The following is a 27,407-nucleotide window of genomic DNA, read 5'->3' on the forward strand; positions in this document are numbered from 1 at the left end:
TGCAACCATCGTAATGTGATATGGAAGGGCCCTCAAATATTTTCTATTAAGAACAAAAATAAATCATCTCATATCTTAGATTTGCTTCAGAATAATCTGAAGTGGGATGAGTAAGTAAAGCACAGATAAAATAAGGTGGGTCATGAGATGATAATTGTTAAAGCTGGGTGATGGATACATGGAGGTTTGTTAAACAGTCTCTAACTTAGGATTTTTTTTTTTATTTTCCAAAATAATAAGCTTAAAAATATTATGCTTAGAAAGGTTGGAGACCACTGCTTTTATACTAAACTATCAAGTAATTTTGCTTAAAAATTCTTGCACTGGGTACCCAATTGATGACAAATATGAGAGTAGTCAAGTTGTTAAAGCAAATATTAAAGTGGGTTACGGAATGCTACATAAGAGATACAATTCAATATTCTTACTATAGGGGTGCCCAGATCTAGTTTTTACACTTAATCTAATTTTTATCTCACATCAAATATTGGAAAGAAAAAACATAGCATTTGTGTACCCACAATGGATTATAAGATCTATTGACTGAGAAAAGCCTAAAAATTAATATGCATTTATCACAATTACCTGTTATGCCCTTTTTCCTTTTTCCCTCTCTTCCTGTCTCTATTTTTCTCTAATCCAGTGCTATTTACCTTAAGTTTGAAGATAATGACCTATTTCATAATTTAAGTGGCAAACACAAATTAGAATACATCCTTTTGGGCTATTACTCACAACCACTTCGTCTGCGACAACTGTTCTACTTTTCTTTAGCCTTGGCAAGCTATTCAGAACAACATTTCCTTCTTTTCATTCTTATGCAGGGTGATTGTTTGGTGCTGATACAACATTGACTTTTCCCATAATTTAGCTTAGAGTGTTTTACACTGGGGAGTTCCAATGTGTTTAAATTGTAAAACTTTTTCCGAGCATTTTTGTAGCAGAACTCCATGTTCTAATAGCCCCGGCAAAGTTGTTTTTAATACTTTTTCTCTACGAATTTTCATTAAAATTTAATTCCATTTTAACTTTGTCAATTTTCCCCAAAGATAAATTAAGACACACAGAGAGATTGTCATTTCCTGTTTGAAGTCTCATTCCTGTGTACAATGTCAGTCTTTTTTATTTAGGCCTATGCCATTCCATCAGGGTAAATAACTTTCTAACTAGTCATTTAAGAGCAACTCCCGGGAAACTGTGATGCAATCCCACATATCAGCCAGGTGAGTTACGTTGGGATCAAAGATTATGTGATCGCATGTATGTGTGTTTCTTTGTCATATAAGTTATACTCTGGCTTATCACTGCGTGATAACTTTACATCAACTTCCCACATTCTTATCTTTTGAATGATATGTATGGTGAGCTGACCAGTGGGTTTTAAGATGTAGTAGCAGAAGAATCCAACAGAAAACTGTGGAGATTTTAGCTGAGATAGGAATTTTTAGGTTGGTCATATTCGCTTTGGGGATGAATTGCCATGATTTTGTGCTCTCAAGGTATTGTCTTCTGCTTTCTTCAGTAGGTTTTGGAGATACTTTCAGAAATGTCTGCATTTCTTGTGAAAATACTAGAGCTAGTGATGTGTTCCTGTAGCATAGCGGGCTTTAATTTTTCCTGCTCACATACAGCCTAATAGAATTTTGAAAAATATGGTGTGTCCCCCTTGCACATTGTTAACAGCTGAAAACTTTTCTTATACGTTCAAATAGTCACAGAGGATGTGATTTCCCTGGTGTTGTAAATATTCTCCTTAAAAATATAACTGTTACATCACTTTTTAAGTAATAACTAATGTAATCTAAATGTTATGGCAATTCAATACCCCTACTATCCATTTAAAAACACATTATACATATTATTAAGCTTTCTTTAATAGATATTTACATCATTTTTTTCCTTAAACTCATGTTTCCATTCCACTTTGCCAAGGAATTTTGTTCCAATATATGTTTATGCTTGAACAAATTGATGACCCTATGTTTCACTTCAACAAAAATATTTATATAAATAAAAATTTGTGTAAATTTACTTCCCTGTAATCATAACACCCAAACTTCTAGAGGGCTCACATTACAATTATTAGCAGTATATAATTGATCCAAATGATTTTAAACATTGACAAAAAGAGTTAATGTAAGTAAATGTTTACTAAGAAGTAAATGTAATTTTACTAGAAATACATCTGTTAATGAGATAAATGTGCAGGGAATTGGGCTTTTTAATTTTTTAAAATTCTGCTTCTTTTATTTTCTGTTGTTTTAGGGCTTGTTTTGCCTGACAATCGGTTTGTGTGTATTTATTGCTGAATAGTTATTGCTTATTGCTGGAACGAGATAATTTCAGCATTGATATAGTCCGTATTTTATATTGTTATACATGCATGTCCTGAGAAGTCTTACCATATACATAAGTAGATGGCACTGAAGAAAGGCTTTTTTTGTGTGTTTATTTTGGAGATGAAATTTTACTTAAACTCTTTGAATTGCTTCTGAGCTATATATCCAAAGTCACTCAGCAATCTTTTATTAAAAAATAATCTGGAGGCCAGGCGTGGTGGCTCACGCCTGTAATCCCCGCACTTTGGGAGGCCGAGGCGGGTGGATCACGAGGTCAGGAGATCAAGACCATCCTGGCTAACAGGATGAAACCCCGACTCTACTAAAAATACAAAAAATTAGCTGAGTGTGGTGGCGGGCGCCTGTAGTCCCAGCTACTCGGGAGGCTGCGGCAGGAGAATCTCTTGAACCTGGGAGGCAGAGGTTGCAGTGAGCCGAGATCGTGCCACTGCACTCCAGCCTGGATGACAGAGTGAGACTCTGTCTTAAAATAATAACAATTTGGAGATCTATCAGTGCACAACTTCATGAAGTCTCACACTTGGCTACTACTTCCTACTGCCTTTCTTCTAGAACCTCTTAAGTGAGAAACAGATCTTAAAACTTTCACCAAGACCTCCCAGGCCCCATGCTCCTCTCAGCCTGAATGCAGTTCGTTTCACTGCTTCTTCTCTGAGTAGTGCCAGTCGGCAGGTCGTCAGCAAGCAACACATTCACAGACTGGCTCCTCTAACTGGAGAGGGGATCCTGCCCTGAGACAGAGCCATGGGTGCTTCTCAGTAACTAGATGAGTGGAAGCCAAGCCCCAGATGCTGTCCTACAATGGCATCACATTCCTCTGCCCTATTCTCATCTGTTAAATATGGATTACTATTAATAGCAACCTCTTAGGGTTAACTCAATGTTCCATTGAGTTGCTATACGTAAAACTTTAAAATATTACACAAATGTTAGTAGCCCCATGTTGAGGATGTTTGAACATGATCTGTCCCAATCTTGATCTCCTCATTACATAAACCGGATCTGCTCATAGAACATGATGCTAAGACACATGCAAAAATGTGGCCCAGCCATTTGGACCTGCATTTTATTCTCTAGCCACTTGGTTTCCCAGTTAATGAGCAAGGATCTCATTGACCACCTAGGTCCGCCTTGTTTAGATGAGCATTTGGACCCTGAGATGTTCTTACCTCAGCAGTGTTTTCTTCAGGTAACCTTTGATGCTTTCCCTCTTGTTCCACACATTATATAGTATGGGGCAAGAGACACTCCTGTCTTCTTTCTTGGCCTCTTTCAGGCTGAACTAAACCCAGACAAGCCTTCACTGGAGATGGGGAATTGGATAAATATGGACACAACTGGAGATACAATGATGAAGAGAATTTAAATAACTCAGTCTGTTCACTAAATAAATCTAGATAAAAATAAATACTTACAATAAGAAAGCTTAAGGGAAAGTGACAAAACAGATTTTAACAAGGTATGCAGCTTTCTTTGGGGTATTAATGGTTTATTTTTATTTTTATAAAAATATCTATTAGCAGTATTTATATAGTGAAAAATTAGACAAAGAGCAAAATATTTAACAAAAACTTTATTGTATTTTTTCTATTTTTCTTTCTTAAGATTTCATTTTGAAAGGTTTCAATTTATTAATCAGAAGTTTGCCTCAAATCAATGCTACACAGCAACTGCTGAAGTAATTTTAGTTACGTGTTAAGTTAAAAATTCCCCTCTAAACTGCATGTTCAATCAACTTTCACTGTGAAATAGGATTTGATGACATTTAATACTGACTCTCTTGATACAAAGGGTTGGGAAAAGGTCATTGAGTCAGTTGACATTTGCTGTGTGCCCACTGAGAGTGTGACTCTGTAGTAAGTATTATTATGTAGTAAGTATTAAGTATGAGGCACTTCATGGATCTGAAGGACTCCTCGAAAGTGAGACTTATTCAATGAAAAAGAAACTTTTATATGCTTACTACTCAAACTCTGGTGAATTTTTTCACCTTTATTTGTACTTGGGTCAGAGGGAGCTGTGACATCAAGGCAGTGATAAAGAAATAAGCCAGGGACATAAGGAATGGTATGGTAGGAGAACAGATGTAATTAAATATAGGTAGCTCCAAATTAACTAGTACAGTGCTAAGACTCTTCTGAATGCTCAGTTAATATTTATTGATGAGGCCATTCATACGCATACATCCTTTCTTTCCCCAAATCCCTTTGCAGGCAGCACATTGGAGGTTGTCTGGGCTCTGAAGTTCATCTTATAATATTCTCTGCATAAAATGAAATACATTCTGAGGTCTGAGACTGTTCGAGAACTTTCAAATTCTTTTTTCACTTTTATAGTCCCCATATAATTTAACTTTTCTAAAAGTTTATAGACATGTTCATTTGGTTTAAAATTTTTTTCTTTCTTTCTTTATGGCGGTAAATATACATCATATAAAATTTACCATTTTAACCATTTTTAAGTATATAATTCAGTGGGATTAAGCACATTCACAATATTGCATTGCTTTTTGTCTAGCTGAATGGGATTCTCAATGTGCCTGTGACAGAGATGAATGAAGTATTAGCTAAGAAACAATTGTAGTCAGCTTAAAGGACATTCCATAATCACAGAATACTCAGTAGGGGACACAAATACACATCACATAGGAATTGAGTAGATCCCAAATACCATCCAAAGAGGCAGGAAAGCCCCATAACTGCTGTGTCATGTGCAGCATCAGATCTTTGTTGGAACAGATTGTCTTATAGCAGGCCAATACGAATTTGTCATTGATGCATAATTAATGAACTGAAAAATGGATGAATGAGATTTCTCTCTAATTAATGTGTCCCTAATATCTGGCACAAAAGCAAGCTGTATTAATTAGTAGAGTGGTTGTTGTGTGTGTGTGATTGTGTGTGGATGTGGCGTGTCTGTCTGTAAGCATAGTTTGACATGTTTTATTTTTCAGCCTGTTTCTTTGTCTGCTCTTATCCTTCTTCCTAATTCCTACCCTCTCATCACTCCTTTTGTTCTTCTCAGAATTGCATTTTGTTTTTATATGTGGATGAGGGAGAAGGATGACAGATTGAATGATTCCATTTTTAGATGGATGTCTGAGCATACATGAATTAATCAATATTTCATAATCTAGGTGATGAAAGCCCCTCCTTTTTTAAAGCATGAGGACATTATGCTTTGTGTGTGCAGCTTAACTACTATTAAGGTTAACGGAAATCAGGCGACAAAGCCCCTTTCTTGAGTTGATAACATGCACTAGTGTGCATCATTGTCAATTATACATACACTCTTAATCACTTTGGGAGGGAGGAGAGGTAAATCCCGCTGCTGAGCCAAAGCACCTCATGTAAGGATTATTGGCCAGCATTAGGATCTGAACTTAAAATCTGAATTCTCTATTTTCTTTCTAACTTATTCTACAATTGTTAATTAAGTCAAATATTCCCCTAGGAAATGAGTGAATGTGTGGGTGCTTGCACATGGCGGGGGGAAGGGGGTGAAAATAAAAAACACTGAAGGCAAAGAGGAAGAATATTTTTGCATTCGTATTTTAGGACTACTAAAATGTGTAGCTTGTTTTTATAAAATCTTGAATCTGAATACTTGTCTGCAGATATAATATCTTCCATTAGGTGTATAGTTCTGGTATTTTTAGTTCCAGGTGTGAAATAACCTCTATTGAAAGATTTACTCCTCATTTGGCTAGACATTTCTTCATTCAACAGATATTTATGAAGTCTATTCTATGCCAGGTAGTAAGTGCTGTGAAGATAATTAGGCTTTTACCATCAAGTAGCTCCTTGACTAATGAGAAAAACTGACATATAAACAGGCATTTAAAAATGTATGAGCATTCAGTTTGCTAGAGTTTAAATTCAAGCTCAAGACTGATGAAAGGAGAGGCTGGAGATGTAGGGAGAGGGCACATTGTGGAAAGTCAGTCCAGCAAAGATGCTGTAATGAACAATGATTTGAAATAACAGAAATGGAGTTCACACTCCCTGACAGTTTAGCACAAGCCTTCCAGACTGTGGCCCTACCTAGAGTATTGAGTCTTCTGCTAGACCTCCTGCATCTGCCTACATCCTGGAGAAGAGAGGGAGGAGTTAGGCCTGAGTCCACCCTGGAGTGGCACACATCAGTTCTTCCCATGGTGATCATATGACCCAGTTTATGCCTGAATTCTCAGCACAACAATTAATAGTGCCCTCTTTCACTCTTAACAGTGTCTCGGTTTGGACAATAAATTACATGATCACATTAATTTCTCCCATATTCTATGAGTGAGAATTCAATCACATGGTCACACCTAACTTCAAGGGATGCTGGAAATCCTATGTGATCAAGAGGAAAAGGCAATGGATATTGTCGAATGCAAGGCAGTTTCTGTTGCACATGTCAAGAGGTTTAAAACTTTATTCTCCATATCCATTGACTTTTGAACATGCTCACCTAAATACGAATATTTCTTTGAAGTCTTCCAGTATATTTTGCAAATTCATAGGGATCATGCATCCTGCTCCATATACGTGTGTTTTTCTTAAAATAAAATAATGTACTTTATTTCTTCAAAAATCTATACAAATAAGTAATGCTCCAGGAATATGTTCCATTCTTTGTGGGAGAAATTCTTTGCAGGTATGTGCAAATTATGTATCTGCATATATAGAGATATCCAGCAGACTTTCAATAAAATATTAAAACATGTTTATTTCTGATGGTAGAATTGGAGATGACGTTTCCTTTTTCTCTGCATTTTTCCACATCATTTTGGAATTTAAGAACGGTTTTTATTAGTTTTATTAGTGAAGTTAGTTTTTATTTTAGTTTTATTTCATTTTTATGAAGAGCCACCTCATATAGCATTGGCTGTATGAATATCCAACTTGGAACACACAGCACTGAACAAACAGTCAGGTAGAAGAATGACCTGGCCAGATTTTCATTTTAAATAGGACATTCTGACAGCTGCATGGAGTGCAGATTCCAAAAGACAGAGACTGGGAGCAGGGAGACCAATCCAGACTGTTATAGGTATCTGGATAAAAGACGATAGAGGATCTGATCTAGGTTGGTGATAGTAGGAATGTTTGGAGATTAAATCAGTAGAGCTAAATAAACCAAAAAAGAATTATTGATAAATTTGACTATGTAAACAGTAAAGGTTTTGCTTCTTCAAAACATCATAAAATTAAGTTTAAAAAGTAAGGGACAAACTGTAAAAAACACTTGTGAGATATGAATGATAAGAAAGATGGGAAAGGTTGGCATCCTGGATATATTAAGAGCTCTTAACAATAAGAGAAAAGTATTCTAATATAAAAATGAACTCAGCAATTTATCAAAGAATAAACATGACCTCCAAAATGTTAAAACCTGACCAAAGATAAAAAAATACTGGAAATAAAAATACAATCTTCATTATCATATTAGTGAAGATAGTCACAGAATACAGTACAGATATATGTACAAAGTATTCATCTTGGAACTGTTAATAACAATGAAAATTGAGAAAATAATTCTTTCAACGAAAGGTTTGTTAATAAATTATTATAGATCCCCCTATTGGAATATTAGGTAATGATTAAAAATTATTGCATAGATATATAATATTGAAATAGAAAGTTGTTTGTGCATCACAATGCCTGTGACCTATTATTAAGTAAAAACTGGTTATCAAACTTCAAGTATAACATGCCAACTTTATGTAAAATTCTTTTTGTGTGTGTGTGTGTGTGTGTGCAAAACATATATCTGCATATGTAGGGATACCTAGAAGACTTTCAATAAAATATTAAAACATGCTTATTTCTGGATGGTAGAATTGCAGATAGCTTTTCCTTTTTCTCTGTATTTTTCCACATCATTTTGGAATTTTAAAATAGACACCATGCACTATTCATATAATTTTTAAGTAAACAAAGCCTTATTATTTGGGGGAAAAACAAAAGCTAGTAGGTATTTTTTACTCCAAGGGTGTAAAAAATAATGAGGACTTGGTGATTGATTGATTATAGAGAGCAAATGAGAAGGACTGGGCAAAGATGACTTTCAATTCTCTCATTCCTTGTAATAATTCACTGGCACTGAATGAAAGACAGTTATCCTCTCTCCTATCCCTTTACCCTGTTGTCATTCTTTTTGCTTTGCAACTTCTCATCCAGATTCGTCTCCTCCTAAGACTGTCCCTAGACTCTCTGAAATGCTTGTTCCAATGCTAACAGCCCCTCTGCATCCGTTACCTTATTTCAGAATGCTTTCTCCATGTTTTCCCTAACTGAATGGCAGAGGATTAGAGATGAGACATGGTGCTGGAAATGACTGACACAATATTCTTATACCAGTACAGGTTGTTTTGATGGCAGCATCCTATAATGAGGCTTCCAACCTAGCATCAGAGAAGATGGGAGATGAACAAATTTATGAGGGACACAGTACCAAGTGGACCTGTCTCAGGGTGTTCAAAATAGCTGGGAGGTCCAGGGATGGGGTAAAGATTGCCAACAGATTGCAAAGTCTGGTAAGGAGCAAGGCAACCCTCATACTTGTCTGAACTGATTGTTCAGGGCAGGAGAGGAGGCGCAATAGTGAAAGTAATGGCCAATCCTAGTTAACAATCTAAGAGGAACTGCCAACTCGTTATTTTTCTTTATCACAGTTTGCTTTGCAAACCAACAAGCAAAAATACCAACCTATTCATATACAAGCATAAATGCCATCTGTGTAAATGTAAATACTAAACACAAGAGCTTTTCAATGATCAAGAGACATTAAAGATTGATGTCAGAGATATGTCCACTTCTTGAATCTTACTCTTTAGGGCCACCAGTCCCCAGACACTATCTTTGTATTTTTGTCATCATTGAGATCTTTGCCATTCGAGGCTAACTCATCCCAGTGATCAAGAGCCATGCATTTCTTCTTCGTCTCCTTCTTCTTCTTCCTCTTCCTCTTCCTCTTCTTCTTCTTACCATACTTTAAGTTCTGGGATACATGTACAGAATGTGCAGGTTTGTTACATAGATATACACGTGCCATGGTGGTTTGCTGCACCCATCAACCTGTCATCTACATTAGGTATTTCTCCTAATGCTATCCCTCCCTTATCCCCCAACCCCCAACAGACCCTGGTGTGTGATGTATTCTCATTGTTCAACTCTCACTTATGAGTGAGACTATGCAGTGTTTGGTTTTCTGTTCTCGTGTTAGTTTGCTGAGAATGATGGCTTCCAGCTTCATCCATGTCCCTGCAAAGGACATGAACTCATGTCTTTATGACTGCATAGTATTAGATGGTGTATATGTGCCACATTTTCTTTATCCAGTCTATCATTGATGGGCATTTGGGTTGGTTCCAAGTCTTTGCTATATGTGCATAGTGGTGCAATAAACATACGTGTGCATGTGTCTTTATAGTAGAATGGTTTATAATCCTTTTTGTATAGACCAAGTAATGGAATTGCTGGGCCAAATGGTATTTCTGGTTCTAGGTCCTTGAGGAATTGCCACACTGTCTTTCACAATAGTTTAACTAATTTACACTCCCACTAGCAGTGTAAAATCATCCCTATTTCTCCACATACTTTCCTGACTTTGTAATGATCGCCATTCTAACTGGCATGAGATCGTATTTCATTGTGGTTTTGATTTGTATTTCTCTAATGACCAGTGATAATGAGCTTTTTTTCTTATGTTTGCTAACATAAATGTCTGCTTTTGAGAAATGTCTGTTCATATCCTTTGCCCTCTTTTTGATACGGTTGTTTGGTTTTTTTCTCGTAAATGTGTTTAAGTTCCTTGTAGATTCTGGATAATAGCGATTGTCAGATAGATAGATTGCCAAAATTTTCTCCCATTCTATAGGTTGCTTGTTCACTCTGATGATAGTTTCTTTTGCTACGCAGAAGCTCTTTAGTTTAATTAGATCCCATTTGTCAATTTTGGCTTTTGTTGCCATTGCTTTTGGTGTTTTAGTCATGAAGCCTTTGTCCATGCCTTTGTCCTGAATGGTATTGCCTAGGTTTCCTTCAAGGGTTTTTTATGATTTTAGGTCTTACACTTAAGTCTTTAATCCATCTTGAGTTAATTTTTGTATAAGTTGTAAGGAAGGGGTCCAGTTTCCAATAAGAAGTCAAATCCCTGAATAGACCAACAACAAGTTCTGAAATTGAGGCAGTAATTAATAGCCTACCAACCAAAAAAAAAAGTCCAGGACCAGAAGGATTCACGGCCAAATTCTACCAGAGGTATGAAGAGCAGCTGGTACAATTTCTTATGAAATTATTCCAAACAATAGAGAAAGAGGGACACCTCCCTAACTCATTTAATGAGGCCAGCATGATCCTTATACCAAAACCTGCCAGCGACACAACAACAACAAAAAAGAAAACTTCAAGCCAATATCCCTGATGAACATCTATGTGAAAATCCTCAATAAAATACTGGCAAACCGAATCCAGCAGCACATCCAAAAGCTTATCCACCATAATTAACTCGGCTTCATCTCTGGGATGCAAGGCTGGTTCAACATGTGCAAATCAATAAACGTAATCCATTACATAAACAGAATGAATGAAAAAAAGACACATGATTATCTCAATACATGCAGAAAAGGCCTTCAACAAAATTCAACACCACTTCATGTTGAAAACTCTCAATAAACTAGGTTTTGATGGAATGTATCTCAAACTAATAAGAGCTATTTATGACAAACCCACAGCCAATATCATACTAAATGGGCAAAAGCTGGAAGCATTCCCTTTGAAAACTGGCACAAGACAAGGATGCCATCTCTCACCACTCCTATTCAACATAGTATTGGAAGCTCTGGCCAGGGCAATCAGACAAGAGAAAGAAATAAAGGGTATTCAAATAGGAAGAGAGGAATTTAAATTGTCTCTGTTTGCAGATGACATGTATATATAGAAAACCCCATCGTCTCAGCCCAAAATCTCCTTAAGCTGATAAGCAACTTCAGCAAAGTCTCAGGATACAAAATCAACGTGCAAACATCACAAACATTTCTATACACCATAACAGACAAACAGAGAGACAAATCATGAATGAACTCCCATTCACAATTGCTATAAAGAGAATAAAATATCTAGGAATACAACTTACAAGGGATGTGAAGAACCTCTTTAAGGAGAACTGCAAACCACTGCTCAAAGAAATAAGAAAGGACACAAATAAATGGAAAAACATTCCATGCTCATGGATAGGAAGAATCAATCTAGTGAAAATGGCCAGAGTGCCCAAAGTAATTTATAGATCAATGCTATCCCCAACAAGCTACCATTGACTTTCTTCACAGAATTAGAAAAAACTACTTTAAATTTCATATGGGACCAGACCAAAAAAGAGCCTATATAGCCAAGACAATCCTAAGCAAAAAGACCAAATCTGGAGGCATCACACTACCTGACTTCAAACTATACTACAAGTCTACAGTAATCAAAACTGCATGGTAATGGTACCAAAACAGACAGACAGACCAATGGAACAGAACAGAGGCCTCAGAAATAACGCCACACGTCTACAACCATCTGATCTTTGACTAATCTGACAAAAACAAGCAATGGGGAAAGGATTCCCTATTTAATACATGGTGTTGGGAAAACTGGCTAGCCATATGCAGAGCCAGGCATTTCTTAGTATGCATTGAACTCATGCCAAACTATTGTTTCTCACTATTATTGTCTAAAAGACAACGTGTACTACAAATGTGAGACAGGAAATGTCCATCTGACCTTATTACGGTAGAAGAAATTTTCCAGAGTTCATATGCTGATGTAATTATTTTAAGAATTATTTTTATTTTTTAAAGTGGTAGATCCTTAGAACAATTGTCTTTGCTGTCACAGGCATAGCATATGGCTTATCATCTCCCGTTTAGAGGAATAGAGCACTGTAATTGCTGCAATCAGGTTTTATATTATTTTCTAATTAGGTTTTAGGAGTTCTTTTTATTTGCTTGGTTTATTTGTGTGTGTGAAATGTAACATATATATTTCTATGTCTTAACCTTTACTTCTTTTGGAAGGTCCTTATTTATTTTACATAGAAAAATTTTCCTTTTTCCACAAAGCTATGACCACATAACTTACTTCCTTCTGTTCCAGTATTGTGTTTTATGTAATTTCCTATAAACAGCAGCAAACAACTTCAGTATACACTGGCTGTTTGTTCAGTGTTCTTGCAGTACTTACAATGGACATTTCTCAGCATAATTAATCTCTTTTTAAAATTTGGCCCTATTCTTATCAGCACCAATATTATACTTTGAAATGAATGGAAATGCTGTACTCATTGAAGGGATAAGGATTAAATCTTAAATGGGGTCTAGGGATGAAGTGAGGAGGGAAAAAACCCTTACAAACCTGGTGCTTTTTTTCTCCTTTGGAAATGAAAAGCAACAGGCTATACTCTGTGAAAGAAAGGAAATGGTGCTGACGAGCTTTTCCCCAACCACTGTACACCTCTGGTTCAGAACTAGCAGAAGCCAATTAGTTATTTAGTTCACTCGCACATTTAAGCGTGATATTTGATTTATATGAGCATCAGGAACTAGATATTCAGGCATAATTCAGGTCCTTTTTCTCTTTCATTATAATGAGTAACTTTAATTCTTGTTTTATATTTGTTTGAATCCATGATCTGTTTTTAATCCTATATCTTCTGTATCTGACAGACTCCATTTCATCCATTTTTTTAGTTGTCCTTTTTTACTATATAGTTTTACAGAATCCAGGAAATCCTTTTCTTCTGTTAAAATGCTATCACTAGTAGTAATATTTCTAATGCCAATTTAAACCTTTTTATCCTAGCATACTTTGTGCAGAATGAATTGTTAAGTGCATCTATAGAAAACGAATGATTGGTATTCAGCCAAGCTTTGCCTATGTCTTTCCATGACCAAAAACAAGTCAGGTGAGAAGGAAAAAAAAAATTAATTAGTCTGTTGTTTATCTTTGTGGCTTTGAACAACCTATTTCTATATTTTGGGAAAATTTTTTCTCATTGAATTACCGGGTATATTTATCATGTACATTAATACTTGAATTTTCATTATATAGCTCCATGGTGAAAAGTTTTGAATGAGAAACTATTTTTAATAGCCATTTCAGAAACAAGTGAGGTCAATGAGCATCTTGTTTTAGGAAGAGGGGGATGGTGTGGACATTGGAGTGAAAGGAAGTCCTATGTCAGAGGGCTCTGTGCACATTTTCCTGAAGTACCTCAGCGATGCTTAAATGTAATCTGTTATTTTAACCAATCATAATGGTTGCATTTTGCCTTTTCTCATATTAAATTATAAAATTGATAACTTATAAATAGGGCAAAAGTTTATTTTTCAGGATGCCTTTCCCTTCTGTAACACTAACAGATTGAATTTTGTTTCCAAAGACTTCAAAAGCTGCCAGATTATTGTGAAAGGAGAAACACTGTTTTCGAAGGCTGCTGATAATGCCTATTAGCCAGAAGAAAGAGCCTGAATCATTCAAAGGTTTTCCATCTAGTAAAGAAGTGTGGTAAAAATCTTGCCCAGATCTGCATGTGCTAAGCATCTACGTAAGTTGGAGCATCATATTAATGACACCCAGTGAAGAAACGAAAGGTAAAACTATAATGCAATGTATTTCTGTGCCTCGTGTTGAAACTTCATATTCAAAGGCTAAAGGGACTTCATTTTTCTTCTCCTTCCCCAGTTGTGTATTTCAGTTTTGTATTGAAATGTTCTCTGGATTCATAAAATATTTAGGGACTACATAAAGAATAAAGACTTTGGAATCGAAGGCAAGATTCACCCAACACAACTTCTGTTAGATGAAACTAGGAAATCAGGATCTATCAAAGGCCCAGTGTTAATCGGTATCAGTTTCTCACCATGTTTTGATTAGAAGAACATTGAACAGCAAACATTTAAGGATTTGTCTGACTGAATACTGACTTAAAGTTCTGATCTCTAGTAATGTCAGATATATTGCCTTGGTAGATTGTACAGGTCAATTGTTAAAGATGAAAACATAACTTACTTCTACATTTATTGTTTGAATAACTTTAGAGAAAAAAATTAATGTTATTTATTTTTCAGAATGAAGTGTAATTACTATATCAAAAATCCACAGAATGTGAAAGTATAAAGGAAAACTCTCAGGTGAGACTCGATTATTTTTATTTCAAAGATCTAGGTAAAAATGTGAACAGATTGGGAGGCTGAGGCAGGAGAATCACTTGAACCCAGGAGGCAGAAGTTGCAGTGAGCCAAGATTGCACCATTGGACTCCAGCCTGGGCAACAGACAAGACTCTATCTCAAAAAAAAAATGTGAACAGATATATTGACATAAAATTCATAAAACATATGGATATACTAAAAACTAGGAAGTCTGGTTGCTTCTGAGGATAAGAGTTGAGGACCTGTTTCAAGAATACTTTGCACAGCTTGTACTATTGCAGTATTTGAATTTTTTCTTGTACATGTATAACTTTTTTAAAAAGAATGAGAAATGCTGTACAAGTGCAACTATTTTTACTGTAAGTTTTTATTTCCATAAAACTATAATTAAGTGTGTGGTCAATAGATCCTGTTATATAGCTATGATATCCCTTGAATTTGTTTACCTGGTAACACTAGCTCACGTTTGTAAATCCTTTGGAACTCCCAAAGCGATTTTACATACATTACCTAATTTGTAAGATTACAAAACTATTACATTAGCTTTTCTGGTTTTCTTGTCTTAATACGTGATTATCATATTAAACTGCAGTGTTTTTTTTTTTCCATCAAGTCACACACACAAAACAGGAAACCAGCAGTTGTAATTTCTTCAGCAATTCTTAATGTAAGTTTTTAATAGTTTAGTACTTTTCTTTCATAAGTATTGGACCAAGCTGTAATGGAATTATACGACTCATGCTTTCAGAACAGAGCCTTCTGTTACTCGTGTTTTTATCCTGATGGCCATATGACCATGTGAAGTTCCATCATGATTCTGTTGGATGTTACCTTTGTCTTATCCACTGAACTCAAGCCAGGGTGTTGGAGAATTCAATAGCTGAGTCTGAGGGTAAATTAAAATACCAGTCAAAATTAAATGGACTGTGTGAAACAGGAGTGAGCTTACAGGTTATTATGAGATTTGTCCTGCCCAGTTTAATACAACCCCTTCTCTGCTGAAGGGTAAGTAGGAAGGCTTTTCATACAAATAGAAGACCAGGTCAAAAAAAAATCCACTCCTTTTCCTTCTGCTTGGCTTACTGGACTTGTAGGCAGACCTAGTTTTCCTACTGTATTAATGGCTATGGAGCTGAATTTCTTTGCAATAGAAGTTGTTATTTGAGTTTAGCAACATTGATAAAATTGGCTCATCAAACCGTTTTATATTGAAAAGGGCTTCATGGACAGTGACCTGCTGTGAGTTGGCTGACAGCTGAAATGATGAACAATACTGTTTAGTTCTGCCCATCGTGCCTGCCAGAGACTAAGAATAACTTGACCAGTAAGGAGGGTGGATCTTTGTTAGCTGTTCTGCATTATTTCTTCCAATTTAGTATTTAACCCCAAGAAAGAATCAATCGCATGTGGGTGGCTATTCATTGTAATATTTAAAGGTAAAGTAGCACAGTGGTCAAGGGTGAAGGCTAGGAGTCAGACTTGAATTCAAATGCCAGCTCCACCCTTTACCACACATGGGAACATGGGCAAGTTACTTCACTTCTTTAACCATCAGTTTCCTCATTTCTAAGACAAATCTTGTTGGAATGACTTTTTTTCAAAATGAATTAAGTGTATAGTAGAGGGCCTATAGTTTTATATGGTTTATATAATTACTAAAACTTTTTGTATATGATTATAATAACTACATACAAAATGTCATGGCAAATGCATAAAAACTGACTATTGACTATGCTATCCCCCACTCCACTCCCCACCATTCATTCCTAAGCCCACTCCAGTCAGGCAATCTGCCATTCCACTGATACTACACTTGACAAGGTCACCAATGACATTTACACTGCTAAATGCAGTGGCCAGTTCTCAGTCTTCATCAGAGTTGAGCACTCAGCAGCCTTTGGAAAAGTTAATCTTGCATTCCACTGCCTGCCCTTTTTTGTTTTCCTAATCTCTAAACATTGGAGGGCTCCAGGGCTCCATCCTCTGGCCTCTTCTCTATCCATAACCCCTCCCCTGGTGACCTCATCTAATCTTGGAGATTTACTATCATGTAGATGCTACTGACTTCTCAAATATATATTTCCAGTTCACATCTCTCCTGTGAGTTCCAGACTTGTTTATCCAGATGCCTGTTCAATTTCTGCTTGAATGTCTTAGGTAGTTTCTCAAACTTGGCATGTGAAAAACTGAACACCTTGATTTTCCTAAAAATCTGTTTCTCTATCATTTAGCTGCTCAGCTAAAAACTTTGGAGTTAGACATATGGACAGCCCACCCCAAGGGAAGAATCAGAGGAGAAGGGACACAAGACCCCAGAAACACACAAAGCACCTTAATATGCATGCTGCATCTCTCTAAAATTGTGGAACCTGTTTACCTGCTCTGGAGAATGGCTGCCTGTGGCAGACATAGGAGTTGTCCTCATGCTGTGCTTCCTATCTTCCACAGTAATTGACTTGTAGCTGCAATACAGTTACCAACCAGGAATACAATTTCTCAGCCCCATGTCTTGCACCTACAGCTAAGTGTGGCCATGTGACCAGTTTTCACCAATTAAGTGTGAATAGCAACAAAGTGCACCACCTTCAATTGGAGGCTTTGAAGAAGCAGGGCAGCCTTCCCTTGCTCTCTTTCCCCTTGTTCTGGTGGGATACAGATGACAATAAGGCCCTGGGTTTTGAGGTAGCCACAAGATGCAAAATACCTCAGACCTGAGTCACCACAAGGAAGAGAGAAGCCCACTGACATGGAATACCCAGCCTAGTCTACAGATGAATAAGAAATAAACTTCTATTATGTTCGAACATTACAGATTTTGTTCTGTTATAGCAGTTTATCTCACCCTGACTAAACTGTTGCCTATCTTCCAAGATAGGCCCTCCTTCCCTGAAAGTGACTTTTTCATACATGTAATCTGTATTTTAATTCATATTCTCCAAAGCATATCCACATCTATTCAACTATTTTCATGTCTTCCATCAATAAAAACCTCATATAAATATATACGAGGTTTTTTTTTTTTTTTTTAAGACACTTTGGAGTTATCCTTGACCCTGTCCTCTTTTCTCATACCCATATACGAACCATTAAGAAATCTTGTTGCCTCAACCTTCAAAATCTATCCAGGATTTAACCACTAATCAACCCCTTCTCCTCTGTCAGTCTGTCCTCCTAGATTTCATCTTGACCATCCTTAGAAACTCCTAACCAGTCTTATTGCTTTCGCCATTGTACATCCAGACTATTCTCAAATGGCAACCAATGAGATCGTGCTGCACTTCTGCTCAAAACCTGCAAATGGCTTCCTACCTCACTTAGGGTAAAACCAAATGGGGCCTGCACAATCTGGCTTCACCTCCTAGTGCTTTCCTCCTTGCTCATTCAGCCCAGCCACACTGCTCTTCTTGCTTTTCCATGAACATGCTAGACACACTCTCACGTTTGGGCTTTTGCACTTGTTTCCCTTCCCAGAATGCTCTCCTCGTGGATACGCACATATCCAGCCCCTTATCTCCTTCAAATTTTAGTTCAAATGCCACTTTCTCAATGAGGGTTTTCTAACCAGCCTATTTAAACTTACAGTCTCCCATTGTCTAAAGCCTTGTCTCCCTTCCTGCTTTACTTTTCTTCATAGTAATTACCACCATCTGACTTATATTTGCTTGCCTTTCTTGTTGATTTTCTGTTTTACCCACTCAAATGTAGTCCATAAGGGAAGGGATTGTTGTTTCATTTGTTCACTTCTCTATCCCCTGGGCCTGAGCCTGGCTTTGGGTAGGCACTCAGTTAATGTTTGTGTAAATTAATAAATGAATGAATGACATTTACTACCTTATATGGTACTATAATATAAAAGCATATGATGCAGAGAATTAGGAATCTAGAAACTAGTTTTGACTCAGCATCCTATGTACAAGGTTATGTAGACAAGTCATTTCACCTCTCTGAGCCTCATTTTTCTAATATTTAAAATCTACCCTCCAGAGCTGTAAAGTGTTCAAATATAGATTATCTTATGGAGTGCAGTCTCATGCTTGCACAATGAAAGAAGTTAATTTCTACATACCTTCCATGTACCCACAATCAATGGTTTATGTAAACCTCACCTCAGGAAAATTAAGTTCTGTATGAGCAGATTTTTTTTTAAATTGCCACTGAAATAAATACCAAATTAAGCCAAATAAATACCAAAACAGACTTTGCATTTTTCATCTTTAGCCAAGCTCCTCTGGTTTGCATACTCATAATATAATTCAAATGACCATTTTTGGAGTTTTGATTTTTAGTGCTCTTTTTCTCTGCTAGGAGAAATGAATATCTGATGCTTTGTTTTTCCAAATTGTTGTATGAAAACTGAGTAATGCTATAAAGCTTTTTAAATATTTTAGAGGTATAGCAAGTGAACTATTTTATAAGTTTCTGGGATTTTTGAAAATATTTTTTATTTTTAATTTTTACTGAGACAGGGTCTTGCTCTGTTGCCCAGGCTGGAGTGCAGTGGTGTGATCTCAGCTCACTGCAGCCTCTGCTGCCCAGGTTCAAGCGATTCTCATGCCTCAGCCTCCCAAGTAGCTGGGACTACAGTCCTGTGCCACCATGCCTGACTAATTTTTTTTGTATTTTTAGTAGAGATACGGTTTCGCCATGTTGGCCAGTCTGGTCTCGAACTCCTGACCTCAAGTGACCTGCCCACCTCAGCCTCCCAAAGGGCTGGGATTACAGGCATGAGCCACTGCACCCAGCCTGAACATATTTTTTATGTTCAATATAATGTTGACTACCTAGTAAAGTCATATTTGTTCAAATTCCCCTGATTTATTTTCTAATGAATACCTCGATATTTCTCTTATATGCTGGTCACTTATCAAATGATTCCCAGTGAACACTTTTGATTGATTAATGTATAACTTGATCAGGTACTGAATTTGCATTTGCTTAGTAAGGCCCACCTTGAAAAATAGTGCAAATAATTTATTCAGGTCAGATAGGGAGAAAGAAATCATAAAAATACTAAACCAAACAAACTTTAGAAGTGGCTGTTAATAGATAAGATTTTCAAGGCCCATGATAAAGGGATTCTAGTTCTAGATCTGCTTTCCATATTCTTCAATTCCAAGGGACATCTTCAGCGTAGCTCCTGACTGGCCTGGCTAACGCTTCGTGCATCCTTTCTTGAGCTTTGAAGTTTGTCCTGTTTGCCCCTCAATCCTCATAAGGTCTCCTTGTGCATGTGCCCCTCCCTGAGTTTGTGTGTGAGTTGCTGTCTCATTCCTGGTCTATGTTCCCTATGTTTTTATTTCCTATCTTTTAGTATGTAAGTAGGTAGATAGACAGATTGACTGATGATTGATTGATAGAAATAGATATATAATTTATTTTCCCATGGGTAGATCTTTAAGGTTTTCAGGCATGGGAGTAAGATAACCACCCTATCCCTCTGTGTGGTGGAATAGGGTAGAGTATGGCTGTGGCCAGAGAGACAACAGAACAGTGTAAGAAAGTGTAAAAGTCTTGAACTATAGCATAGATACGCAAGAAATAAATGAAAATGCTGCTGTTTAATGTGCTGTTTGCAATTTTTAAAAGTCTATCAGTGGGAGAATTGAATAGGTAAATAAAGTTTTCATTGTTAACTTTGTAACAATAAGTTTCTGATAATCTGTAACACAACAATAAAGTAAGAAAGCTCAAAAGTATTCTCAAATTTCCCCATCAGGGAATAATTTCTTCCTGAATATCACTCACAGCTCCCTGGAATAATAATACAGTATAACCTTTTTATTCAATTGACACCTATGAGCCAATTTCTATTGTTTCTCAACCAACCCTCCTACTCTTCACCAGTCTGTGTTGGGGCCATATCTATGTATTCACATACATAGTATTCTTTTCTTACATCTATCCTAGAATATGTATGTATAACACCATAATACAAGTCAACTGTCTCTTATCTGCAACCACAAATCCATAAAGCTCTGAAAACCAGAAGTTTGTTTTATGATTGGTACCAAAATTTATTTTGTGCAAAACCTGGCTTGAACAGACATGAGGCTTGCTAGCTGATATGCCCCACTAGATGGTGAGCTTTATGGAGGCAGTCTTGATTCCTCCTGTCTGCCTGGTATCTAGTGAATCTCAACAAATATCAAATATTTGGAATAAGCAAATGAATATTTTCTATCAATTTAATATATTTGAATTTATTAGTCTTCCTCTGTTGTTCTTATTTGTTTTTTGAGACGGAATCTCACTCTGTCACCCAGGCTGAAGTGCAATGGCATGACCACAGCTCACCGCAGCCTCAAACTCCCAGGCTCCAACAATCCTCCTGCCTCAGCCTCTTGAGTAGCTGAGACTACAGGCACACACCACTGCACTCAGCTAATTTTTGTGTTTTTTTGTAGAGATGGGGTTTCGCCATGTTGGCCAGGCTGGTCTTGAACTTGGCTCAAGGGAACCACCCACCTCAGCCTCCCTAAGTGTTGGGATTACAGACATGAGCCACTGCGCCTGGCCTCTGTTCTTATTTTTTAAATGTTAAAACTTTGAGAAAACAAGAGTTAGGGCTAATAAGTGCTTTTCAAAAATTTATTTTTAAACTGAAAATATAAACATTTGGTCAGATTGAAAAATCAATGATGGAACCAAGAATAATATAGTGTTTCCTGAGTTTTAGATTAGTATTTTCTTACCTAGATAAGACTAGTATTATGAATGCCAGATAATTCCAAGGCCAAGAAAAACAACTTTCTTTAAAATCTATTAAAATGTTATGAGTGAAAATGATGAAAATAACGTTATTTTACTCCTGTGCCTGAAAACACTTAAGGGGTCCCCACTGGGGAAAAATATGAATCAATATCTACATATGTATATATTTACTTATACATATATTATACCACTAAAAAATCAGAAATAAGAAGGTAGGGCAGATAGATCAAGAATGACATAGCAACTTACATACGAACTTAGGTAGGAGAACTTGTAAATGTATTTTGAATATTTGATGCTTCTCCAGATTCTTTCACCTTTTCTTTATACATGCTTTTATGTGGGTTCACATATATAAAAATTATGTATATTGTATACAAGTTTGTATTTTTTTCTACATTTTGAGGAAATTTTGAGGAAGCAAACTTCTGCTTTATGAAACATCCACTCATGACATCAATAATTGCCAAGTAGAATCTTTTTCATAAAACACTCATGACCTAAATTGAAAAACATAAAAGTTTTATTGAAGTTACAAATGTCAGGACACAAGTACTGTTATCAAATATTAGAATTATGATATACCATAACATCTATTATTCTGCCTTGCATTATCATTCTAAATTTTGTAAATATTTGTTGGGTCATAAAGAAATAAATTTCTCTTTGAGCCATCTAACTTACTTCCTTCTAATATCCAATTTATTGAATAGGATGCCATTCTATTTCCTCCGATGAATTTTCATCTGATGTCCATTTGCAGTTCACCCTTAAACAACATGGATTTGAACCGCATGGGTCTATTTATACGTGAATTTTTTTTAGTAAATATATTGAAAAATTTTTTGGAGATTTGCAACAACTTGAAAAAACTTGCAGACAAACTGCATAGCATAGAAATACTTTCGAAAATTTTTTTTTGGCCGAGCGCGGTGGCTCAGGCCTGTAATCCCAGCACTTTGGGAGGTCGAGGCGGGCAGATCACCTGAGCTCGGGAGTTTGAGACAAGCCTGGCCAACATGGTGAAACCCCGTCTCTACTAAAAATACAAAAATTTACCGGGCATGGTGGTGGGCGCCTGTAGTTCCACCTACTCGGGAGGCTGAGGCACGAGAATCACTTGAACCCGGGAGGCGGAGGTTGCAGTGAGCCGAAATAGCACCACTGCACTCCAGCCTGGGTGACACAGCCAGATTCCGTCTCAATAAATAAATAAATAAATAAATAAATAAATAAATAAATAAATTTTAAAGTTAGGGCCAGGCACGGTGCTTCACACTTACAATCCCAGCACTTTGGGAGGCTGAAGCGGAAGGATCATTTGAGCCCAGGAGTTTGAGACCAGGAGTTTGAGACCAGGAGTTTGAGACCAACCTGAGCAACATAGTGGTACCCCATTGCTACAAAAAAATAAAAAGTAAAAAGTTAGCAAGCTGTGGTGGCACTCCTGAAGTCCCAGCTCCTCAGGAGTGGGAGGATCACTTGAGCCTGGAAGGTTGAGGCTGCAGTGATCCTTGATCGCAAACACTGTGCTCTAGCCTGGGTGACAGAATGAGACCCTGTCTCAAAAAAAAAAAAAAAAGAAAAAAGAAAAAAAGAAAAGAAAAGAAAAAAATAGGAATAGAAAAAGTTGGGTATGTCATGAGTGCATAAATACATAAATATGTGTAGCCACTAATCTATTTTATCATTTACTGCCATGAAATACTTGAGTCGGCCAAACCAACCCCTTCTCTTCCTCTTCCTCTTCAGCCTACTCAACATGAAGACAATGAGAATTAAGACTTTATTATTATCCACTTCCACTTAATGAATAGTAAATATATTTTTTCTTATGATTTTCATAATATTTTACTTTCTCTAGCTTACTTTATTGTAAGAATACAGTATATAATACATGCAATATACAAAATATGTGTTAATTAACTGTTTATGTCATTGGTAAGGCTTCTGGTCAACAGTAGCCTACTAGTAGTTAATTTTGGGCGGATCTAAAAGTTATACATGGGTAATTGACCATGTAGAAGTCGGCACACCTAACACCCATGTTATTCAAAGGATTCATGGGTCAACTGTATTTCACTATTTTTATCTATTTGTAAATTATTAATAATTGCTTTATGTATAAAAACAACAGCTGTCTCATCATCATTATAATGTCAATTGTTCCATCCTTATACTATTAATATGATAAATATACATTTATACTTCAAATGACAGAAAAGTAGGCATTAATCAGCAAAGCAGTTCAGGAAAATTAATCTGGCAGGACTGAATAAAATGGGCTTGAAGAAAGTAGGCTTAAAGCAGAAATATATTGGCTAGGACTCCATTGCCATTATCTAAACAAGAATTAATGAGTTTCCTAACTGGGAATGAAATAGAAGAAATGGAAAGAAGGGACAGTTTTAAAATGTAATGAAGGGAAAATTGATGCAATTGGATAACTGGTTGAATATAAGAAGCAAGACAGACTATCATAATTGTTAGATATTTCAGATAATGTGGGCATGAAAGAAAGAGATGCCAAGATGGTAGTAGGTAGTAGAGAGAAGGCCAAGGAAATACTTGTATTTCCTGAAGTTGGGAAATACTTATACTTGAAGAGTGTAGAAAGGAAGGAATCAGCAGAGAGAGCTAAGGAGAAGCAAAAGAACAATTTCACAAAAACATGGATTTAAAGAAGTAGTGGGCAGCAATATTCAGTGCCGCAGAAAAGGCTCTAGATTTTATGAGTAGGAAGTCTCGTGACCTTTAAGAGCACAGGGTTCCATAGAAGGGTGAGGACAGAAACGAAATTTGAAAGGATTAAGGAATGAGTGAAGTATAAGAAAATGTGACAGTATTTTTTCAAAATGAATAATCAAGCAATGAAACATGGAGGAACCTCAAATGCATGCCACTAAGTAAAAGAAGCCAGTGTGAAAAGGCTGCATGACTGTATGATTCGAGCTACATGGCATTCTGGAAAGGGCAAGCCATGGAGACAATGAAAAGATCAACGGCTGCCAGGGATTGCAGGGAGGAAAGGATAAACAGGCAGAGCACATCAAATTTTTAGGGCAGGGAAACTAGTCTGTATTATACTATAATGGTGGGTACATGTCATTATGCATTTGTCAAAACCTGTAAAATGTACACCAAAAGTCAACTCTAATGTACATTATGGACTGAGTGATTATGATGTGTCAGTGTAGTTCATTGGTTGGAACAAATGTACTCTGGTGGGAGACGTTAATAGTAGATGTTGGCCGGGCATGGTGGCTCACGCCTGTAATCCCAGAATTTTGGGAGGCCGAGGAGGGTGGATCACGAGGTCAGGAGTTCAAGAGCAGCCTGGCCAAGATGGTGAAACCCTGTCTCTACTAAAAATACAAAAATTAGCCCAGCATGGTAGCAGGCGCCTGTAATCCCAGCTACTTGGGAGGCTGAGGCAGAGAATCACTTGAACCCGGGAGGCAGAGGTTGAGTGAGCCGAGATCACGCCATTGCACTCCAGCCTGGCAATAGAGTGAGACTCCATCTCTAAATAAATAAATAAATAAATAAATAAATAAATAAATAAATAAATAAAATGAAGTCAATTTTAAAAGAATGTATAACCATTTTTATTAATATAAACTTCTGTGTTACATACATGTATTACTTTTATTGTATCATTTTATAGCCCTTAAAAATTTCAACAAAATGTAAAAATGTATTTTTGTGACCAATGAAATAAGTGGAGTAAAGTGATATTGTTCAGCTAAATATATGATAGATATAAGAATTTAGTTACATTTCTGGAATGACAGAGTGGTGATGAATTTTATAGCATTATGACGTAAGTAAGAAATGTTAGGTCTGTCTTCGGATGTCTATTGTATGTTCCAGTTATTTATTGCTGTGTGTAACACACCACACCAAAACTTAGTAGCTTAAAACAGTCATTTATTGTTATGTTCCATTTTTCTGGGGGTTGACGAAGCTGAGCGTTACTCACTTTTGTGTCCTTCAAATGGTTGCAGAAATATGACAGATGAGGCTGGAATTCTGAAAGCTTCTTTACTCACATGCCTGGCTCCTAGACTAGAATAGCTAGAATACCTGTGGGCTGGTCAGGATTTCTCCCTCTTTTGTCTCTCCACATAGCCATAGTGTGGCTTGGGTTTCAAACAGCGTGGCATTTCAAGACCAGGAATTCCAGGAGACCCAGGTAGAAGCTTCAAAGTGTGGGAAGTGTTGGAAGTCATACAGCGTCACTTCCACTATATTCTATTTGGCAAATCTGTCACAAATGAGCCCAGATTCAAGGGAGTAGAGCAATAGATAGATACAGGGAGGAGAGAAATTGATGGTAGCCAACTGAAAACAAGAAACAAGCTACCACAATCTATTTAGGGGATATTTATAAAAACATAGAGACACACATGCACAAACAACACACACGTACACACATACATGCAGATAAATACATTTTTATGAAAAAATTAAGAATTATTATGAATGTTCAAGTATACAATAATATGCAAAGGGAAAACCTTAATAATTAAAGTAGGAAATGAGACTAACTCTGAGAAGAGTAATCAAAGACATTGTATTTTTTTTTCAGTAAGATCAAGTAAGTCATTCCAAACTGTCTGGCGTCCTGTCCCAAAACATCTCTGAACTTCTCAGTTCAAGAAGTAAGTTCCAGAATTTATTTGGCAAAGGTAGCTTATGTTCACAGTACTGTCTCTGGTTTTCCAGTCTGTCTCCTAGTCATAGGCCCCTAAAGTCCACCAGCCCTTACACTTCCGGCTGCATGCTTGCAAAATCTACTATGTAGTTCTGATTTTGTAATTTTCATTTCAATGAGCATGAAAACTTTTAATACTGAACGTCCAGAAAAGATCTTGTTTTCTTTTATTCCCTTTCCTTTAGGTCATTTTCTTGTAGTTTTCTTCTTTCATTCAATTTTGATAAGACTTCTTTCTTTGAAAATGACATTTAAAAATAAGGTTAACACACAAGTTATTACTTTAATAAAGCACATAACGTATACCTTATAAAATATTTTGAATGCTTTAGAAACTTGTCTTTGCTGCACACAGGCAGAATGGAGTAATATTTTAAGATTTCCTGCAACTAGAAAGGTATGGAAAGTCTTACTGATTTATATTGTGTTCTGACTTCCTGAGGCAGTTTTCCTAATGCTATTCCATTTTAGTCATACCATGAAACAGAGCTTGCTCATTTATTGTGTTTTTTTTTTTTTAATCAGAATTCAGTGTAGAACTTTGTATTTCAGTTTTGTTTGTTGTTTCTTTAGCTTAATTTCTATGGAATTTTATAGTAATAGCAGTTTTATTTTATAAAAGTTCTCTTGCTGGGAGGATAATTCTGTAAGCATTTGAGAAAAGGAATTCCCAGTTCAATTTTCAAAATTATTTTCAAAAATAAATAACCTGACTATTTAACATATATAGTGTTCCAGACTTGCATTTATTGCCTGTACTATGTAATTAAAGATTTTATTATCTATAGTTACTTGGGAAGACACATCTTTTACATCAGTGTTTGTTTCTCAGGACAGGAAACATTTATTACGGTTCTTTTGTATTCCTAAAGTACCATAGTTCTTTTTTTTTTTTTTTTTTGGGGGGGAGAGAGTCTTGCTCTGTCACCCAGGCTGGAGTGCAGTGGCACGTTCTTGGCTTACTGCAGCCTCCACCTCCTGGGTTCAAGTGATTCTCCTGCCTCTGCCTCCTGAGTAGCAGGGACGACAGGCATGTGACACCACACCCGGCTAATTTTTGTATTTTGGTAGAGATGGGTTTTCACCATGTTGGCCAGGCTGGTCCTGAACTCCTGACCTCAGGTGATCTGCCTGCCTTGGCCTCCCAAAGTGCTGGGATTACAGGCGTGAGCCACCACGTCCAGCCTTAAAGCTCATACCATAGTTCTAGACAAATAATATGTAGATGCTCACTTGATAAAAGGGTGTTTATGTTGTATTCTTTCCATTTAATTCTTGTAATTTGAGTCTTACTTGCCTTCCTTAACCATACACCATAGAAACATTATAGAATTTCTTTTATTTTTTTTTCCATCAACTTTTATTTTATGTCCCAGGGTACATATGCAGGATATGCAGGTTTGTTACATAGGTAAATGTGTGTCATGTTTGTTGGCTGC

General features: G+C 36.6%; 1 long non-coding RNA gene across 8 annotated transcripts; it reads left to right on the top strand.

The window, feature by feature from the left end:
• The first annotated feature begins 929 nt into the window (after positions 1 to 929).
• LOC101928334 (uncharacterized) lies at positions 930 to 26,870 on the top strand. Of its 8 annotated transcripts, XR_947640.3 has the most exons (5): positions 930 to 1,223; positions 13,770 to 13,980; positions 14,458 to 14,520; positions 15,154 to 15,207; positions 16,772 to 17,543. It is a non-coding gene; the product is annotated as an uncharacterized LOC101928334 (long non-coding RNA). The 8 variants fall into 8 exon arrangements; XR_426738.4 differs by lacking the exons at positions 15,154 to 15,207; positions 16,772 to 17,543 and adding an exon at positions 25,843 to 26,870; XR_947636.2 differs by lacking the exon at positions 15,154 to 15,207 and having other exon boundaries at positions 14,458 to 14,899.
• The last annotated feature ends 537 nt before the right edge of the window (positions 26,871 to 27,407 follow it).

The sequence above is a fragment of the Homo sapiens genome, chromosome 1 (assembly GCF_000001405.40).
Source record: "Homo sapiens chromosome 1, GRCh38.p14 Primary Assembly".
NCBI lineage: Eukaryota > Metazoa > Chordata > Mammalia > Primates > Hominidae > Homo > Homo sapiens.